Source organism: Homo sapiens, chromosome 5 (assembly GCF_000001405.40).
Source record: "Homo sapiens chromosome 5, GRCh38.p14 Primary Assembly".
Lineage (NCBI taxonomy): Eukaryota > Metazoa > Chordata > Mammalia > Primates > Hominidae > Homo > Homo sapiens.
The window spans coordinates 87382129-87398553 of record NC_000005.10 but is presented as its reverse complement, the minus strand read 5'-3'; the positions used below and the strand labels follow the sequence as shown (position 1 = coordinate 87398553).

Here is a 16425-nt window from a genome sequence, read left to right as displayed (position 1 = left end):
CCACTGAAACTTTCTTTTTTAGGTGTTTAAGCAGTTGGGAATTTGGACAGGTACTAGGATTAATGAAACTGCCATTTTCTATTTCCTGTGGGATGCATTTTGTTACTTAAAGTTATACCTTATTTGTTAAAATTTAATGGGAGTTATCTGTGGCATCTTATATTTAAGATGTATTTGAGGTATTATTTCTGTAATTGGTGAATATGTGCTGCTGGATAACTATGAAAAGCCAGAACAGCAATTCCAAGGCCTTTATGTCAAATACACATGACTCAAATTCCTTACCTATACAGTTGTAGTTGGGGAATATCTACGGACTTAGGAAGTGTGCAGAATATGAGGTTGTTTTATTATAGTTATAGGTATAACGACAAAGCATGTTTTAGCATAGAACTTGAAATTGGTGGATTTCATTCACTCCTCGGTTTCAGTGGTAACAGGAATTTTTCAGAGTGGTTACAGAGAAGTAATGTTGACTTTAATGAATAAAAGTATTGCAGCACTGATTATGTCCTTTTTGCATTGATTTTGAAATGGGATTAGACCAGGGGTTGGCAAACTGTTACCTACCAGGCATATCCAGCCCATTAGCGTTTTTAGAACACAGTTTCTTGGAATGTAGCACACCTATTCGTTTATATATCACCTATGGCTATTTTCATGATACAGCAGAAAAGTTAGGTAGTTGCAACAGAAACTGGTTATAGGGCCTGCAAGGCCGAAAATATTTACTGTCTCTTTAAAGAAAAAGTTTATCCACCCCTGGATTAGACCACTGAACTACTAATCCTACCCTTTCTAGCTAAGTAACTGAATGGACCATAATCCAAAATTCTTAACTGCCATAGCTTACATTGTATTCCAGATTGCCATCTGCCTTGTACTGGGCCAAATTCTGAATATCTATGAGTACTTGAGGGGTGCTTCTCAAACTGCGAAGGACTTTTTTAAAAAAAAATCACTAGATGTATACTTTTGTAAAATTCAATAAAAAATGAATTACTAGAAAAGTGAAGACAAAAACATAAGCTCAAGTTTTATTAGATTCAGCAGTCATAAAATTATTATATCAAATTGCTATTAAAAATTTCTAGGGCCGGGCACAGTGGCTCATGCCTGTAATCTCAGCAGTTTGGGAGGCTAAGGCGGGCGGATCACCTGAGGTCGGGAGTTCGAGACCAGCCTGGCCAACATGGCGAAACCCCGTCTCTACTAAAAATACAATAATCAGCTGGACGTGGTGGTGGGTGCCTGTAATCCCAGCTACTTGTAAGACTGAGGCAGGGAGAACTGCTTGAACCCTGGAGGGGTCACAGTGAGCCAAGATCACGCCATTGCACTCCAGCCTGGGCAACAGAGCAAGACTCTGTCTCAAAAAAAAAAACAAAAAAAAAATTATGAAACACAATTCCTGTACTTAACTCACTGCAAACTGGAAACTGTTCATGGACCAGCTCTGGTACTTGCTACCATGAGTAGTGCTACTTTAGGACTAAATATTTGTTTTCCTTGATCTTCAAAATTATTTTACCTTTAGTTTTCATGACACAAAAACTGTTTTGTCATTGTCAGTCAATACAAGTGAAACCAAAGTTCCCTTTGATCAAAACCCAAATCTGTCATGACCTCAGAAGTTACTTAGCAGTTGTTTACCTTTGCCAGCCTTTTCTCTGCACGTATATCCATATATTTATGAAATAAGCAGCGTTTTTTTCTTCTTTGCATTTTTCATACATATTGTACAATGGGTGATTATCAATGCTTAGCTTTTGCTAGTCTGGGTGAAAAAGTATCACATTGGTATTTTAATTTGCATTTTCTTGATTATGGGACATTGAACTTTCCATACTTAACAGTCACTTATATTTCATCTGTATTGCTTATTTATCCCCTTTGCCCAATTTTCTGGCTTTTTTGTTTGTTTGTTTGTTTTTGAGATGGAGTCTTGCTGTGTCACCCAGGCTTGAGTGCAGTGGCGTGATCTCACTGCAACCTCTGCCTCCCGGGTTCAAGCAGTTCTCCTGCCTCAGCCTTCCAAGTAGCTGGGACGACAGGTGCATGCCAACATGCCCAGCTAATTTTTTTTTGTATTTTTAGTAGAGACGGGATTTTACCGTGTTAGCCAAGGATGGTCTCAAGCTCCTGACGTCGTGATCCGCCCGCCTCAGCCTCCCAAAGTGCTGGGATTACAGGCGTGAGCCACTGCACCTGGCCACATTTTTGTGGTTTGTAGTGCTTTATAGATTCTATATACAGTCATCCTTCAGTATCCATGGGGGATTGGTTTCAGGACTTTCTGCTCATAACCACAATCCACAGATGCCCTAATACAAAATGGCGTATTTGCATATAACCTATACACATCCTCCCATATACTTTAAATCATCTCTAGATTACTTATAATACCTAAATACAATGTAAATGTTATGTAAATAGTTATACTGTATTCTTGAGGGAATAATAAGAAAAAATTCTGTACATGTTCAGTACAGATAGAATTTTTTTCCTTATTTTCAATCCGCAGTTGGTTTAGTCCACAGATGTGGAACCCACAGGATACAGAAGGCTGATTGTACTTATTTATATATGATATATTATTTATATATGATATATTCTATTGTTTTTCACAACTTTTTTCCAAATACTAATTTTTGCCCCAGCTCCCACACCCCGCTTTTTTGAGAAAAAGTCTTCTCTCTGTCATCCAGGTGTGATGGAGTGCAGTGGCTTGATCTTGGCTCACTGCACCCTCTGCCTTCTGGGCTCAAGTGATCTTCCTACCTGAGCCTCTCAGCAGCTGGGACTACAGGTGCTCAACCACATTGGTTAATTTTTTAATTTTTTTGTAGAGACGAGGTTTCGCCACATTGCTCAGGCTGGCCTCAAACTCTTGGGCTCAGGCGATCTGACGCCTCGGCCTCCTAAAGAGCTGGGATTACAATTGTGAGCCCCTGTGCCCAGCAGGTCCCAGCTCATTTTTTATTTCATGTTTTCCTAGTTACTTGAAACACTTCTTATCACACATTAAATTCATCCTTCTGCATAGTCATTACTTTGCTTATCTAGTCTGATCATTGATCTGTTTAATATCTCACTTTTAATTACCGTAGCTTTTGTAGTGTGCTTTAAAGATAACTGGGACAAGGTCCTCCAACACTGTTCTTTTTTATATTCGCTCCTATTTTTTCACACTCTTTCCTAGGTCAGTGTTAGATTTGACAATTCCATGAAAAATTTTATTAGGGTTTTAATTAGAATTGCATTTAATTTAAAGATTGATTGTAAAAGTATCATTTTCCCTACCCCATAGCTGTTTATCTTTTTCCATTTATCCTGGCCTTGTTGTTCAGTAGATACATGATATTGCCTATAGCCTTGCTAGTTTATTTTACATTTTATAGTTTCTGTGGCTGGTATTGGATTGCTTATTGATAGTTGCTTAATTATAGGAAGAAGAGGAAAGGCTATGAAGATGATGATTACGTCTCAAAGAAATCCAAACATGAGGAGGTATGTTTTACTCCAAAGATGAACTCTAAGTTATTTTTGTTATACATTCTGGTGTGACTATACTGTTAAGATTTATTCTCCAAGAGTACAGGCATTATAGAGTTGTGGGTTTTTTCATTTTTTGCATACTTCCTTACGTACAGTACTGTTGTCCATTATTAAAGGGATTTTTCTCTCTTCTGTCTTTATTTAATGAAGAATCCTTCCTGTGTTCATAGAAAGCAGAAGCAATATGTATACATACTACATTTTTGCTTTTTTTCTTATTCTCCAAGGATTTTTCCCTTACCCCCTTTTAAAAAAAATTTTCTATCTGTCAAGTCAAATAAGTGAATAATCAGAGGCAAAAGGTCACAGCCATAACCTTTATTCCTCACTGGAGGAGTCTGGTGAGACCATGCCAACATTACTAACAGTGAACTATTACAAAATTTCCTGGTTTATCTTTTGTAATCCACATGGGTAAAAGGAGGAGAACATTTTCTTAAAGGGAGGTAAGAGGTAAACAATACTGGTTATGCTTCAGTGTTATCCTTACCACACTTTTTTTCCTTCTTAGGAAGAATGGACTGATGACGACCTGGTAGAATCTCTCTAACCATTTGAAGTTGATTTCTCAATGCTAACTAATCAAGAGAAGTAGGAAGCATATCAAACGTTTAACTTTATTTAAAAAGTATAATGTGAAAACATAAAATATATTAAAACTTTTCTATTGTTTTCTTTCCCTTTCACAGTAACTTTATGTAAAATAAACCATCTTCAAAAGAGCTAGAATAGCACCTGTTTTGAATATTCTTATTCCATCGTGACTAATATCAAATTAAAGCTGCAACTCATTTGCCTAATTTTTTAAGCAAAATATGATAGGCAAACCTATGCTTTTTTTAAAAAAGGCACCACAAAAAACAAAACTTAGTAGCCAGCTTTAAAAGTGTTAAGGAATGTGTTTTGCCCTCTAGAAACCTTTATAAATGGCTTTTTGAATGCCATCCTGATATATTTAGCTATTTGTCCATTACTATTAAACTGCAGAAGGTATTTCAACTGTTACATGGTACTGAAAGCCAGTCGTCTGGGTAATGAATATTATTTTTCTTTAGTTACCCGAAAACATTTCCAAATGGGTTTTTAAAAAAAACCAGATATATGATTTTGAATAGCTGTCTACATCAAACTCTTACGCTAGTATAGATAAGTAGGTAGCAGCAAATTGTATATTCAGTTGTGGTTGTTTTTTAATTTTGTTTTGATGTAAGGTCTTGCTATGTTGCCCAGGCTGTCTCAGACTCCTAGGCTCTAGTGATCCTCTGCCTCAGTTTTCTGAGTAATTGGGACTACAGGCACACATCACCACAGCCTTATAATTAACCTATTAGATCCTATAAGTGAATCCGTGTAAGTAGATTATAACAGTTACTAGGAATTTTGCAGATTAAATATGTTAGAGAAATGTAATTCAAATTGAAATGAGTCAATATAAAAATATGAAAGCACAGACTATTACAGCAAATTACTTACATATGAATCATGGCCAGCTGTATTTCACTATGTGACCTTGGTAAGTTATTAAACCTCTAAGTGCCAGTTTCCCACACTGAAAATGGGGAAGATAAAAATGCCTACTCTTCATAGGATTAATTAGAATAGTACCTGCATACACTAGTATTCAGTAAGTGTTAACTATTATAATTGGAACCAAACTGTGGACGTCTGTTTACCAAGCCAGATTTTTTTCAGGAAAACTGGCTTGAAGGAATTCCGAGTAATTCAAGTGTCCTGAATCTAATTAAATTGCACAAATACACACACCTCCTCAGTCTCAGTACATCCCAGGCTGTACTTTCCAGAAAGGTAGGTACCATTATAGTTACATCTATTTTAAGGCAATACTTACTATATGCATATTCATCTCTCTAACAATAATTCTTTACACTGTAGGCTTGAGTTTTGTGGGTTTTTTTTTTTTCTCATTCCAGAGTGAAAGGAATAAAATTCGTGATGTGAGATTTTTACAAAAGCAGAGTGGAAGAAGCCAAAAGTTATAAATCCTCCATCGCAGTCCTAGTTAAATATATTGCTGCTAGGCTCTAGACAGAATTACAAGATGTTCACAATTTGTCTCATTTTCCCTTTCAGATCGCCAAACTTTGGCATCAGAGCAAGGTCCACACTTATCACTGAAAATTTTCCCACCCAGCCCCATTAAAAACGTTAAAGTGTGAGAGATTTTATTTCAACACTGACAAGCTAGTTACTAGAGGGCCTACAAAGGTAAGTAACAAGTTTCCATTTCAACTTGAGAGACAAATGATGTTAAAATATAAGAAGCAGGGTAAGTCAGGTTTGTGATTTTAAATAAAAGGGAGAAGGATTTCAGACTGAGGAATGACAGGTTAGTATGGCTAAAGATTGAGGTGTGATAAATGGGAGCCAAAGTGCACAGCAAAAATATCTTGACTAATCCATATCCTCCCTGTCTTCTATCATGTAACCAAGGAAGGAGACCACCTGGGATACTATGTTGGTCCAAGTCCAGCTAAAAAACAGAAGGGGTGGAAAGGAGAGTAATTTGATAAAAGAGCCAAGAAGGGAGAGAATGGAATGAATTGAGCTGATTTCAAGGAAAAGGAGCATGGGACATGTTGAGATTTTTGGTATCAGTGTTAAACGGTGATTGAAGCCACATAGGTTAGCAGCCCCCATAGAAATAACTGCCTTTTGTAGCTTGGAACTACTAAGCAGACATCTTTTAAGCCCTTAGCATTTTTTTTTCCTGTATTTTATACATTAGAGGAATAGCATAAAGTGTTGCTCTTGGAATCTAGGGCTTTCCTTACTGTGGGAACACCTCCTTGGGTTCCTGTCTCACTCACTTTGATTACCAATGTCATTCTGCCACGTATGTTCCATATGTCCTATCTATCTGCCCTGCACAATTATGAGAGGGAAGGAATTATTGCATTTATAAAATCCTTTTCAAAAGAGGCCATTAGCAAAAATACTAATCTAAAGCTTCAGCTTCTCCCTGGGCCTTGCTCTGATGCTAAGGTTTAAACTGCCCCTGAAGGAGGAAGAAAATAAATAAATTAAATGCTTAGCTCTTTTAGACAGAAGTAATCAATTATGCAAGATATCCCTTGGTTTTATTTTAACTTAACCTTTGTGAATACTTCACAAAAATACACATACAGAAGTAAATAAAACTATACAGTTGAACTAAATATCCAGCAGATACAACAAGTAGTCAGAAGTTCAAAGATGGATAAGTTAGGCAGCTGATGAGGTTGTCTGCATAATCAAAGGGGTAGCACAAATAATGAACAAATAACTTTTAACAAAAGCATTCTAGTTAACATAAAAGAAATTGGTAGTCTATAAAATGGTTGAATGGGTAACATGCATTGATCAATACAACAACCAATAATATTTACTGAATTCAAACTATTTACTTGTAAACATTTAACAAAGCATTATGAGATCTAAATACAGTCTTTGACAATTTCAACAAAATAAGTCGTATGTTTAAAAAATAAAGCTGATGAGCAATAGATCATTCTATATATTTTCTTTCAACAGTTCCAGCAAGAGAAATAGCAGAGTATTTTTTAAAAGTATACAGCAAAGATTGTTCCTATTATAATGACAAACTCTGGAAACTGTAAATACAAATAATCATTGAACAGTCAAATGGTCATATTCCTAATCAGGAAGTAGTTACAGTAAGAACAGTCTGCAATCCAGTTATACACAATTGTCAATAAGAATGTGTTTCTTGTCAGTTGATTTCATAGTTCTTTCTCTAAGAGACAGCAAAACTTTGGCAACTGGGTGTACTGAAAATATATTTTGAAAGTTCGAGATATCAAGATACAGTCATAGCATTTCGTTTTGTGAAAGGTGGTCTGTACACCAAGGCTCAGAGGTTGTTAAAGATTGATTCCATGTGGAAATAGTGCAAATATCCTGCACAGATAGCTTACAAGGTTGCTGGCATAGTTATTCACCAGCAGAATCTTGGATTTTGTTTGCATAGCTCACACATCACTGGAATGTGGAAAAGTGTGCTATTTTTTGGCAAGAGCAAAGGAGACATTAAACTGAAGTGAATTACCATGTTGGACATGCTGAATCCATGCAGAACACTGGGGCGAAGGCTGCTACCTGACATCATTGGTTTTTGTATACTGGTTTTGTTTTTGTTGAAGCAGTTCTGTTATAGCCAGAAGCTTTTTCAATACGTGCTAGACAGAGGAAAAATGGTATGAAAATAAATGAAAGCTCGGTCAGCAATTTCAGGATGGGAACCTGGATTTGAAAAAAACTGTATCAAAGCAAAAGGATGCATAAAATATTACCACAATTCCCCTCAAAACATAAGTCTCTATTATTCAGTCATTGGCTGAGTATTTCTGGTCATAACTAAGAGAATTTTTATACCCTAAAGTGAACAGAAATTTGTTTGTGTTTGGCATGCTCCTATTTTTTAGGCCAGAACTATCACACTATCACATGTTGTCAGAAGCAGTTTATCTCTCTTTTAAAAAAGGCTTTTTTTATTTAATATCTAAGGCAAGTCAAGTCATATTATTAGTTTTGAAAGCTGCGGGGGGAGGGGCGGGGAGAAACAGGACTTGAGGATTCTAGAATCTCAGGTTGTAGAGAACTCAGTCACCAAACTCAATGCTTTAATCCCTTCTACAAAATCCCTGCCAAATGGTTAGCCAGTGCGGTGACAGCATTCACTATCTCCTGAAACTACATTAGAAACTAGTCAAAACTGTCCCTGTGGTCACTTCCTCTCAGTAGCCCTTATGTCAGCTGAGGACATTCAAAGTGTAACTCATTTTGTTCTATATCTCCAATATCTTAATTGACCTGGTATTAAGTCCCTTCAAATTCTGGTCTGGTCTTTGAATACATCCTTATCTGTATCTGTTTGGTGCAGATGGCAGATAGAAGTCTATCAATGTAGTCTACTGTTTCTCAAAGTGTAGGCCATGGTTCACTTGCATCGGAATACCTATAAATTCCTCTAAGAGTTTGTTAGACGTGCAGCTTTCAAGGCCACACTTCAGAACCTCTGGATGTGAAATTTGACAAACATCCCAAATAATAATCATTTGTTTCACAGTTTGAGAATCACTTTGGCCATGCACTATATCTGTATGTGACAGAGAAAAGACAAGACAGAAACTGAAAGAAAAAAAAATAAAATCAATATTGACTTACTAACTAGCCATTTTCACACATGCTACCAAAGTGTTATTACACTGTTTTCCAGTAGAATTAACATTCAGACTCAAGAGCAAAACCTGATGTTTTTCAGTATTAAATGTACATCATTTTAGTCGGGGCCCGTTATTTCTGTCTGCTGAGATCTTTTGTAATATGATGCAGAGTCTCAAAAATTTAATGTAACAAGATAAAAATGTTAACCAGAATTCAGCTATTTATTAACTCTCTAAGTGTTATCTTTGAAACATCATTGTTAATGAAGGCTGGCGAAAGCCTACCTGCTGTGCACCACGCTCATTACTGAGCGTTCGAAGTTCATCTGAATGAGCCACGCAAATCTCATGCAATGCTGCTAAATCACGGGACAGGTCCGTTCTAGAATGCTCTGTAGTGTCCGGAAGTTCAGGTACATTCTTTAAGGGAATCGTAAAATTGCATTTAGAAATACAAATCTTCTTTTTTTTTGTTTTTTTTGAGACAGAGTTTCGCTCTTGTTGCCCAGGCTGAAATGCAATGGCATGATCTCGGCTCACTGCAACCTCCGCCTCCCGGGTTCAAGCGATTCTCCTGCCTCAGCCTCCCAAGTAGCTGGGATTACAGGCACCTGCCACCATGCCCAGCTAATTTTTTGTTACAAATACAAATCTTTCTCTGTAGTCTCATGTGAAAAGATTCTAATTGGGTATATTAGATAATTTTTTTAATACTCAAATTTCTCTTAAAATTCTAAAGATTCTTATTGAAATATAATATTCAGTATTAATGATGGTAAAATATAGACTTTGTAACCTTTGTATTCACATGAAAGCCAGATTCCATTTTTTTCCGTAGCATGACAGATGTGTACAATATTATTGCTATTCTAAAAATAAGGGGTGGGGGGTGTGGCTTCCTAACAATTAGCTTTGTATCTGAAAAAATCTAGAACATATGCCAAATAGTGTAGGTTAACTGCTAATCTGGATTAAATGCAGCCTAAACTTAAAATTCCTAGATGAAATTTCATTATTAAGCTCCTGTAGTTTGTCTAAGTTGATAATGCATATAAGTAGGAACTGCACTATGAAAATGCAATGAGAACCTGTCAGGTTTGCAATTATCTGTGGACTATGCTCAGAATACTTGCTAATGTGTGGGAATAATCAGTGTTAATTATGGTACTTTCAGATAAGGTTCATAAAGTAACTTAGTCACTATAATGAAAGTTTATAGTATAGGTTGAATATCACCCAAAATGCTTGAGACCAGAAGTGTTTCGGATTTTGGAATATTTGCAGTATACTTGCCAGTTGAGCATCCCCAATCCAAAAATCCAAAATTGGAGATTTTCCAAATAGCATTTCCTGTTGGTGCTCAACAAGTTTTGGATTTTTTAGCATTTCAGATTTCAGATTAGGGATACTCAACCTGTACTTTATTATCGACACTAAATGCCAGTGTTATTTTAAGCCTTGGAATAACATTTAACAAGGGCTTGGATTACCAGTAAAATGGTGACAGTATTTGCTTTACATTGCTAAAAACTGCAAAACAATGTTATCTATGGGACAGAGAAACACAGTTACTCAGAATACATTCAGTGATTAAAGGTTTATAGCGATGAAAGACTCCATATTTGCCTTCAGAGAACTGACTCCAGTAGAAAGGACTTTAGAATAAAGTAATCATAGCAACACAGAATTATATATCACAGATACACAGGGGATGCTTAGGAGGTAAAACAAAAGTTATTTTATTCATGTTTGGGGTTCAGCAAAAGCTTCCTGAAGGAGATAATAATTGAGGTGGGTCTTCAAAAATAAATTTGGCTTATTATACAGGTGGTGAAGAAATATGGTAGTATTATATTTGGATTCTAAGCAGTATGAAATCTTAGATTGTGTGGCATAACTTCTCACACAGTTCCTTAAACATTATAGTAAAAATATTTTCCAATGATTGACCAACTATATCCCAGTTCACATATAGAAGCATGATGGACTTTTAGCATTTTTGTCCATTTCACTATAAATTTCACTATAAATATGGAGCTATGCCATAATTTTTCATACACTAGTTTTTATACCTGAGGTTGCAAACTAGTGACTCAACGGCATTCCTGATTTGTTTGCCACAAATTGTGGTGGTCTTTTTAACTGAATCTGAATACATTAAGACAGAACATGGACACCTCAATCTCCAATCCTAGCACTCCCTAATGCCATGCCTTACACCTGGCTCTATTCACATGTACATGCACCTTCCTGGTTTCTCTGTATATGAACTGAATTACTAATAAGTTTAGTTTAAAACTGACTCAGTACCTGAAAATCTGTTCAATCATGAAAATTTAACTTGATTAAGAAAGGCAGGGTCCTAGAAATTATAAAATACCCTCATTCGTAATTTTGTAATCACAATTTATTTTATTAACAAGGCCCAAATGAGGCACAGATATTCACACTGAATGAAGTGTAACACCGAATCCACGTCTTTTATTCCTAGAAAAGAAGACTTTTCAGTCTACTTATTTAACCTGGTCAGAACTGTGTCATCGTCTTGCTTCACGCCCCACATAGTAGCAGCAAAGTAAAAAAGCTAAGGAGGCAACAGAATGTCATGGCAGTCAGATGTGATAGCTTTAAAAGGATATGAAAAGCAAGACAGACCCTAAAAAATGATGGAAGTAGTCTAAAAGCCACAATAATGTATGCTTTGGTGTAAACTATTTAGTGTAAGAATAAATGGTTTTAATTACAAACAAAAATATGTTTTTTGTTTAGGAAGGCAGACAAAAATTTGCAGGCTTTTTGTCTTTTTAGTTTTGGATAGAAAATCTTTCTAAAGATTGCTGCTTAAATGGGTTAACTCAGCTATATCAACTAGAAGTCTTAAAAAAAGTACCTGAAAACTATATACATACCCCAAGTTCATCTAAAAACATGATCATACGATGTTTGTTGCTTTTGATGAATGGATTGACACCTTCCATGTAGGGCTCCTGAAAAATAAAATGCTTCTGTTATATGCACCAGAAACAAACCACTGTTTGATCTATTAGGTTGGTGCAAAAGTAATTACAGTTAACAGCAAAAACTGCAATTACTATTGCACCAAATTAATATAGCAAAACCCATACATGTAGCAATACTTCTTATAAATTAGGTGTAGCAGCAGCAACACATTCACAAGAATTAATTAAATCATATAATGACAGTATTTTCCTTCTAGTATATAAGCAAATGGCTATACTGAGGAGTATGGGTATTTTTAATGAAAGAAAATTCTGGACCCAAGCACAAATCGTAACACATAGCCTGGCAGACACAAATTGTTTATATATAAATTCACTCAAACATGGCCCCAAATCATAGGTTTGAATCCAGCAGAGATTACAGGGAATTAAAATACAATATAATAAAGACTGCAATAGGAAAATATCTTATTTGTAACCTGCCTCAAAGATTCAGATGAATTCAAAACCTAGGCCATACACGTAGTTAACTGCTCATCGTACTAAAATCCTGACTACTTAAAACCATGCTATAAATAGGGAAAATGTTAAGATTAACACACTCTTTTAAAATCAGTAAGAAACTCAATGAGATAAGGACCTCAATAGGCAATTCCAAAGATAAAGACATGAAAGTCTCTCTAACAGTAATAAAATAATGAAACACAAAATATTATGCCTATCCAATTGGCAAAAAAGAAAAAAGTATAGTACCCAATGAGTTCTGGCAAGGCTGTGAGGAGCAATAAAAGTATCTTAAATTGCTGACAGGAAATCTTGTAACACATAGCAAAAGCCTAAAACGTATTTACTTAGTGATTTTACTCCAAAGTTCAGCTAATAATTGAGTAAGTATGAAAGGAAATGTATGCAAGAATATATGTTACAACAATAACAGGGACAAATGGAAGCCATCTAAATATCCATTATTAAGAATAGTGAAAGAGTTATCTATTTCCACATATGGCAAGAAGTCTGTCACGTATTAGGTGACAAAAGCAGGAGGCATGATATGATCCCAACTGAATATCAGTCATTATCCTTAGATAGTACAATTAAGTGTAGGTGTTTAAAAAAATAAAATCTTGAGTTTTAACATTTACAGTGAATGTTTGTGAAATAAATTTTTAAATGACTTTTTGTATTAAAATGTACTCATTGATTATGTTTAAAAGTGGGAGAATTTGAGTACACTGGACCTTGAAAAATTCGTTTTCTATAATGGCTAAATTTGTGTTTTTTAAAGTTCCACTATTAAAATGTAAAATTTAAACAAGCTACTTTAAAAACAAACATACCAACAAAAATAATCTTTCATCGCTAAAAATTTCACTGCTAAAAATTTACTTAAGCCACAATTTATGGTTTTATCATGTCAAACTTGCATTCATAAATTACATTTTAAAGTATCAAAATGTTTTTACCTTAGCTCCAAATTCCACAAGATTTGCTAAGTTCTGCACAGATTTAGCCACTAATATCAGTGTTCTTGCAGCAATAGGAGATGGAGAATCTGTAACAGAATTGGGCACAGCTAATGACACCAAGTCCAACAGCACTTCCAGCTAAACCATTATAAATTTAGCACTTTAATATTTCTTTACTGTTAAACTACTACCCATTCTTCCATTCGGAACTCAGAATGTTTTTGGAAAAATGTTTTTTGAAAAATTTATGATCCATAAAATTCAAAAGAACTTGAATTAAAAGAGAAAAAGTGAATATGCTTATCAGTGCTTCTAGGCTTGCGAAAAGGGTACTACAAAACTCAGCAGTTTCCAACGGTTGATACTATTTCAAAGGACCTCAAAGCTTTACCTTTATCACTAAAAAAGATTGTCACTCCTCACATCTTTTATGACAGTTCACAAAGCTAATTTCAACCTACTCAGGTTAGCAATCTGAGCAATTCCCTGCTCCCAACATTATTTGCAGTCCAAATAATTCGCTTAAAGCTCAAGAAGCAAGATAAAGTCTAGGACCTCTGCTTTATTTTGAGGAGAAAAACATGAAATTTAATAAACTTTTAAAATATTTTAAAGGTAAGTCAGGAAGCACTTCCCTGTGGAACACAGATAGTAGGATGTAAATGAAAAGTATTGGTGTCTATTAAATATAAGCTCTGGAACTTAATTATTTAACAGTAAAATCCCATAAATAATCTACCTGACTGCCTAGTTTTAGATGGTGTTGTCTGAGGCGAACATCCAGATAAATCTCTCCAAAAGAATTTCAAACCCTTAATATTAATAATTTATAGATTTAACCACTTTAGTAGCAATAAAAGATAATTACAGAGATGTGATGGCTATATAGAAGTAAAAATTAAGACATTCCAAAACATTTTTAGTACAATTTTGAGCTTCAGATTATTAAGGTAAAAATGGTTCCAGTTCCTACTGTTTATAATGGTTCATTATTACATTCAAAGTCACAAATATCCCTGTTATCCTTTCTTTGAAAGAAGCTTTTAACACCTGAAAGTCATCTCAAAATGGATATATGGGTAATAAAACTGGATCAGGTTTACTGAAGTTTAAAATGGCCAATTTACACTATATAACTGGTGACTTTAAAAATCTCTAACGGGAGGAACCAGGACTGCTTTCTTCATAAGTACTCACAGAATACTATTCCAACTGTACATATCATTTAATTTGATCTTGAAGATCTAGCTGGCAGCAGTCTAGCAATGGGCTAAGCAAAGCTCTTCCCAACTTGAAAAAGCCAAGCTGCAGACTACAAGAAGTCACTTATTATAAAGGTTTGAGACACAAATAGGGGTAGAAAAAAGGTGGAATGTGTGTAATCATGCCATCTCAGACCAGATATGAGATGGAAGAAAAGAAACAAAAAGAAAAAAGCCCAAGAAGCACAAGCACAAGGAAGGAAGGGTGCTTTGGAATACTTCATATATGCCATGACTAGAATTGGATGATCAAAAAAAAAAAAAAGATTTAAGAGTATTCTTAAATAGTATGAAACTGTTAATTCTAATATTTTGAATTTCAAAATGTATCAAAAGCTGATTACCTGAGATGATATTGAACATCCGTGGATTCAGGATGGCAGGACAGATGAGTCGAAGAAAAACAAAACCACTGAATGGGAGGGAAATTTTTTTTTTTTTTTTTTAGAAAACACCTATATAATGTGTTACATTAAAACAATATATATAAACAGAATTTTTAGTACTCATAGAACCCATAAAATTCACTCTAAACCAATAAAAGAAAGCCCAGACACAGAAAGCTTTAAGAAAACAGTAAGCCAAAGCATCGTATTTTAAGAATATATATATCTGCTTCTTGAATGTATTACTCACTTTTCCCAATTTAGAATGTGGATTAACTTTGGGAAAATGTTGTTTATCTGTAGTATTTACTGTCTTGCTTACTATTTATTATTCCAGGCTAGTGGTCATTTGATACTTAGAGAAAGTAGTATCCTCAGGAATCTTAAGAATTTCTGAAATACCACAGGAGTAGAAATAAACTTTTTATATAAGCATAGTTCTGTACAATTTTAGAACTTCACACACCCTCATTTCTTAATTTATTTAAACAGAACAGCCTAAGTTGGTTGCATTGATTTTGTTGATGATTCACATAAAAATAAGAATCCATTGCACTAGAGAAAAAGTGACTTATTGATCAATGAAAATGTCTATAATAGAACACTGGAAAGGTTTTCTTTTTTCCTTTTTTCTTTGTTTTCTTTGAGATAGGGTTTTGTTCTGTCACCCAGGCTGGAGTGCAGTGGCCCACAATCACAGCTCACTGCAACCTTGAACCCCTGGGATCAAACAATTCTCTTGCCTCAGGCTTAGAGTAGTTAGGACTACAGGTGCACATCACCATACCTGGCAATTTTTTTTTTTTTTTAATTATTTTTGTAGAAAGCAGAGTCTCGCTACGGTGCCCAGGACAATTTCAAATTCCTGGCCTCAAGCAATCCTCCTGTCTTGGTCTAAACATGTTGAGATTACAGGCTTGAGCCACCATGCCCAGCCTGAAAAACTTTTAAGACAAGACATTAGGAATTCTAAAGTTTTAAAAAGTTGTCAAATTATAAAACAATAGCAAAAGCAAAAATTATACTAACAGCTGTCATATATGATTTTATCTGCTAATTTTACTTTGGGACAATGTCAGTGTTAAAAGCTTGCATAGATACTCCTATTCTGCCTCCTTTAGTCACTGGTAGGGAGGATATGTTGTCATGTAGATAATTTCTAATTTCCTTTTAAGAAGAATCCACACTAATAATTAACCTCTTACTTGCCCCATGTAAAGACAAGCATTATTCCTAAAATAATGAATTATGCAATTCCTTCTACAGATTGATAGACATAATCCATGTAAAGACAAGCATTATTCCCAAAATAATGAGTTACGCAATTCCTTCTATAGATTAATAGATACAATCTCTGTTCTCTGTTAGAGTGGATTACCCAATTTCTTAGCATTTACCTTTGAACATGTACCTGTTTGCTAATTTTTGGACTCTTAGAAAGTAAAGATGTTACTTCTCAAACAGCATTTATAGAAATTCTAATATATTGGCTGGGCATGGTGGCTCATGCCTGTAATCCAACACTTTGGGAGGCCGAGGTGGGTGTACCACCTGAGGCCAGGAGTTCAAGACCAGCCTGGCCAACATGGTCTAACCCCATCTCTACTAAA

At 35.2% G+C, this 16425-nt stretch overlaps 2 protein-coding genes across 11 annotated transcripts in view; one reads left to right on the top strand and one right to left on the bottom strand.

Annotated features, from left to right (window-relative positions):
• CCNH (cyclin H) overlaps positions 1-16425 on the top strand; it is a 101460-nt gene that overhangs the window by 14377 nt on the left and 70658 nt on the right. For 3 of the 9 annotated variants that reach the window (NR_157069.2, NR_157070.2, NR_157068.2), the window contains 2 exons: positions 3450-3510; positions 5650-5784. Coding sequence is in view for 5 of the 9 variants with exons in the window: in NM_001363539.2 (NP_001350468.1) it covers positions 3450-3510; positions 5650-5694 (106 nt within the window). In the remaining 4 variants the exon portion in view is untranslated. Of the gene's footprint in view, positions 1-3449; positions 3511-4069; positions 4281-5649; positions 8959-16425 lie in introns of those variants that run through there. The other 6 variants (NR_157071.2, NM_001363539.2, NM_001364076.2 and 3 more) reach the window with 3 other exon arrangements.
• RASA1 (RAS p21 protein activator 1) overlaps positions 6638-16425 on the bottom strand; it is a 124034-nt gene continuing 114246 nt past the window's right edge. For both annotated transcript variants that reach the window (NM_002890.3, NM_022650.3), the window contains exons 21-25: positions 14774-14841; positions 13165-13253; positions 11651-11728; positions 9027-9161; positions 6638-7754 (exon numbers count right to left, since the gene is read on the bottom strand). In NM_002890.3, the coding sequence (NP_002881.1) occupies positions 7671-7754; positions 9027-9161; positions 11651-11728; positions 13165-13253; positions 14774-14841 (454 nt within the window). In that variant the 3' untranslated portion in view covers positions 6638-7670. The remainder of the gene's footprint in view (positions 7755-9026; positions 9162-11650; positions 11729-13164; positions 13254-14773; positions 14842-16425) is intronic.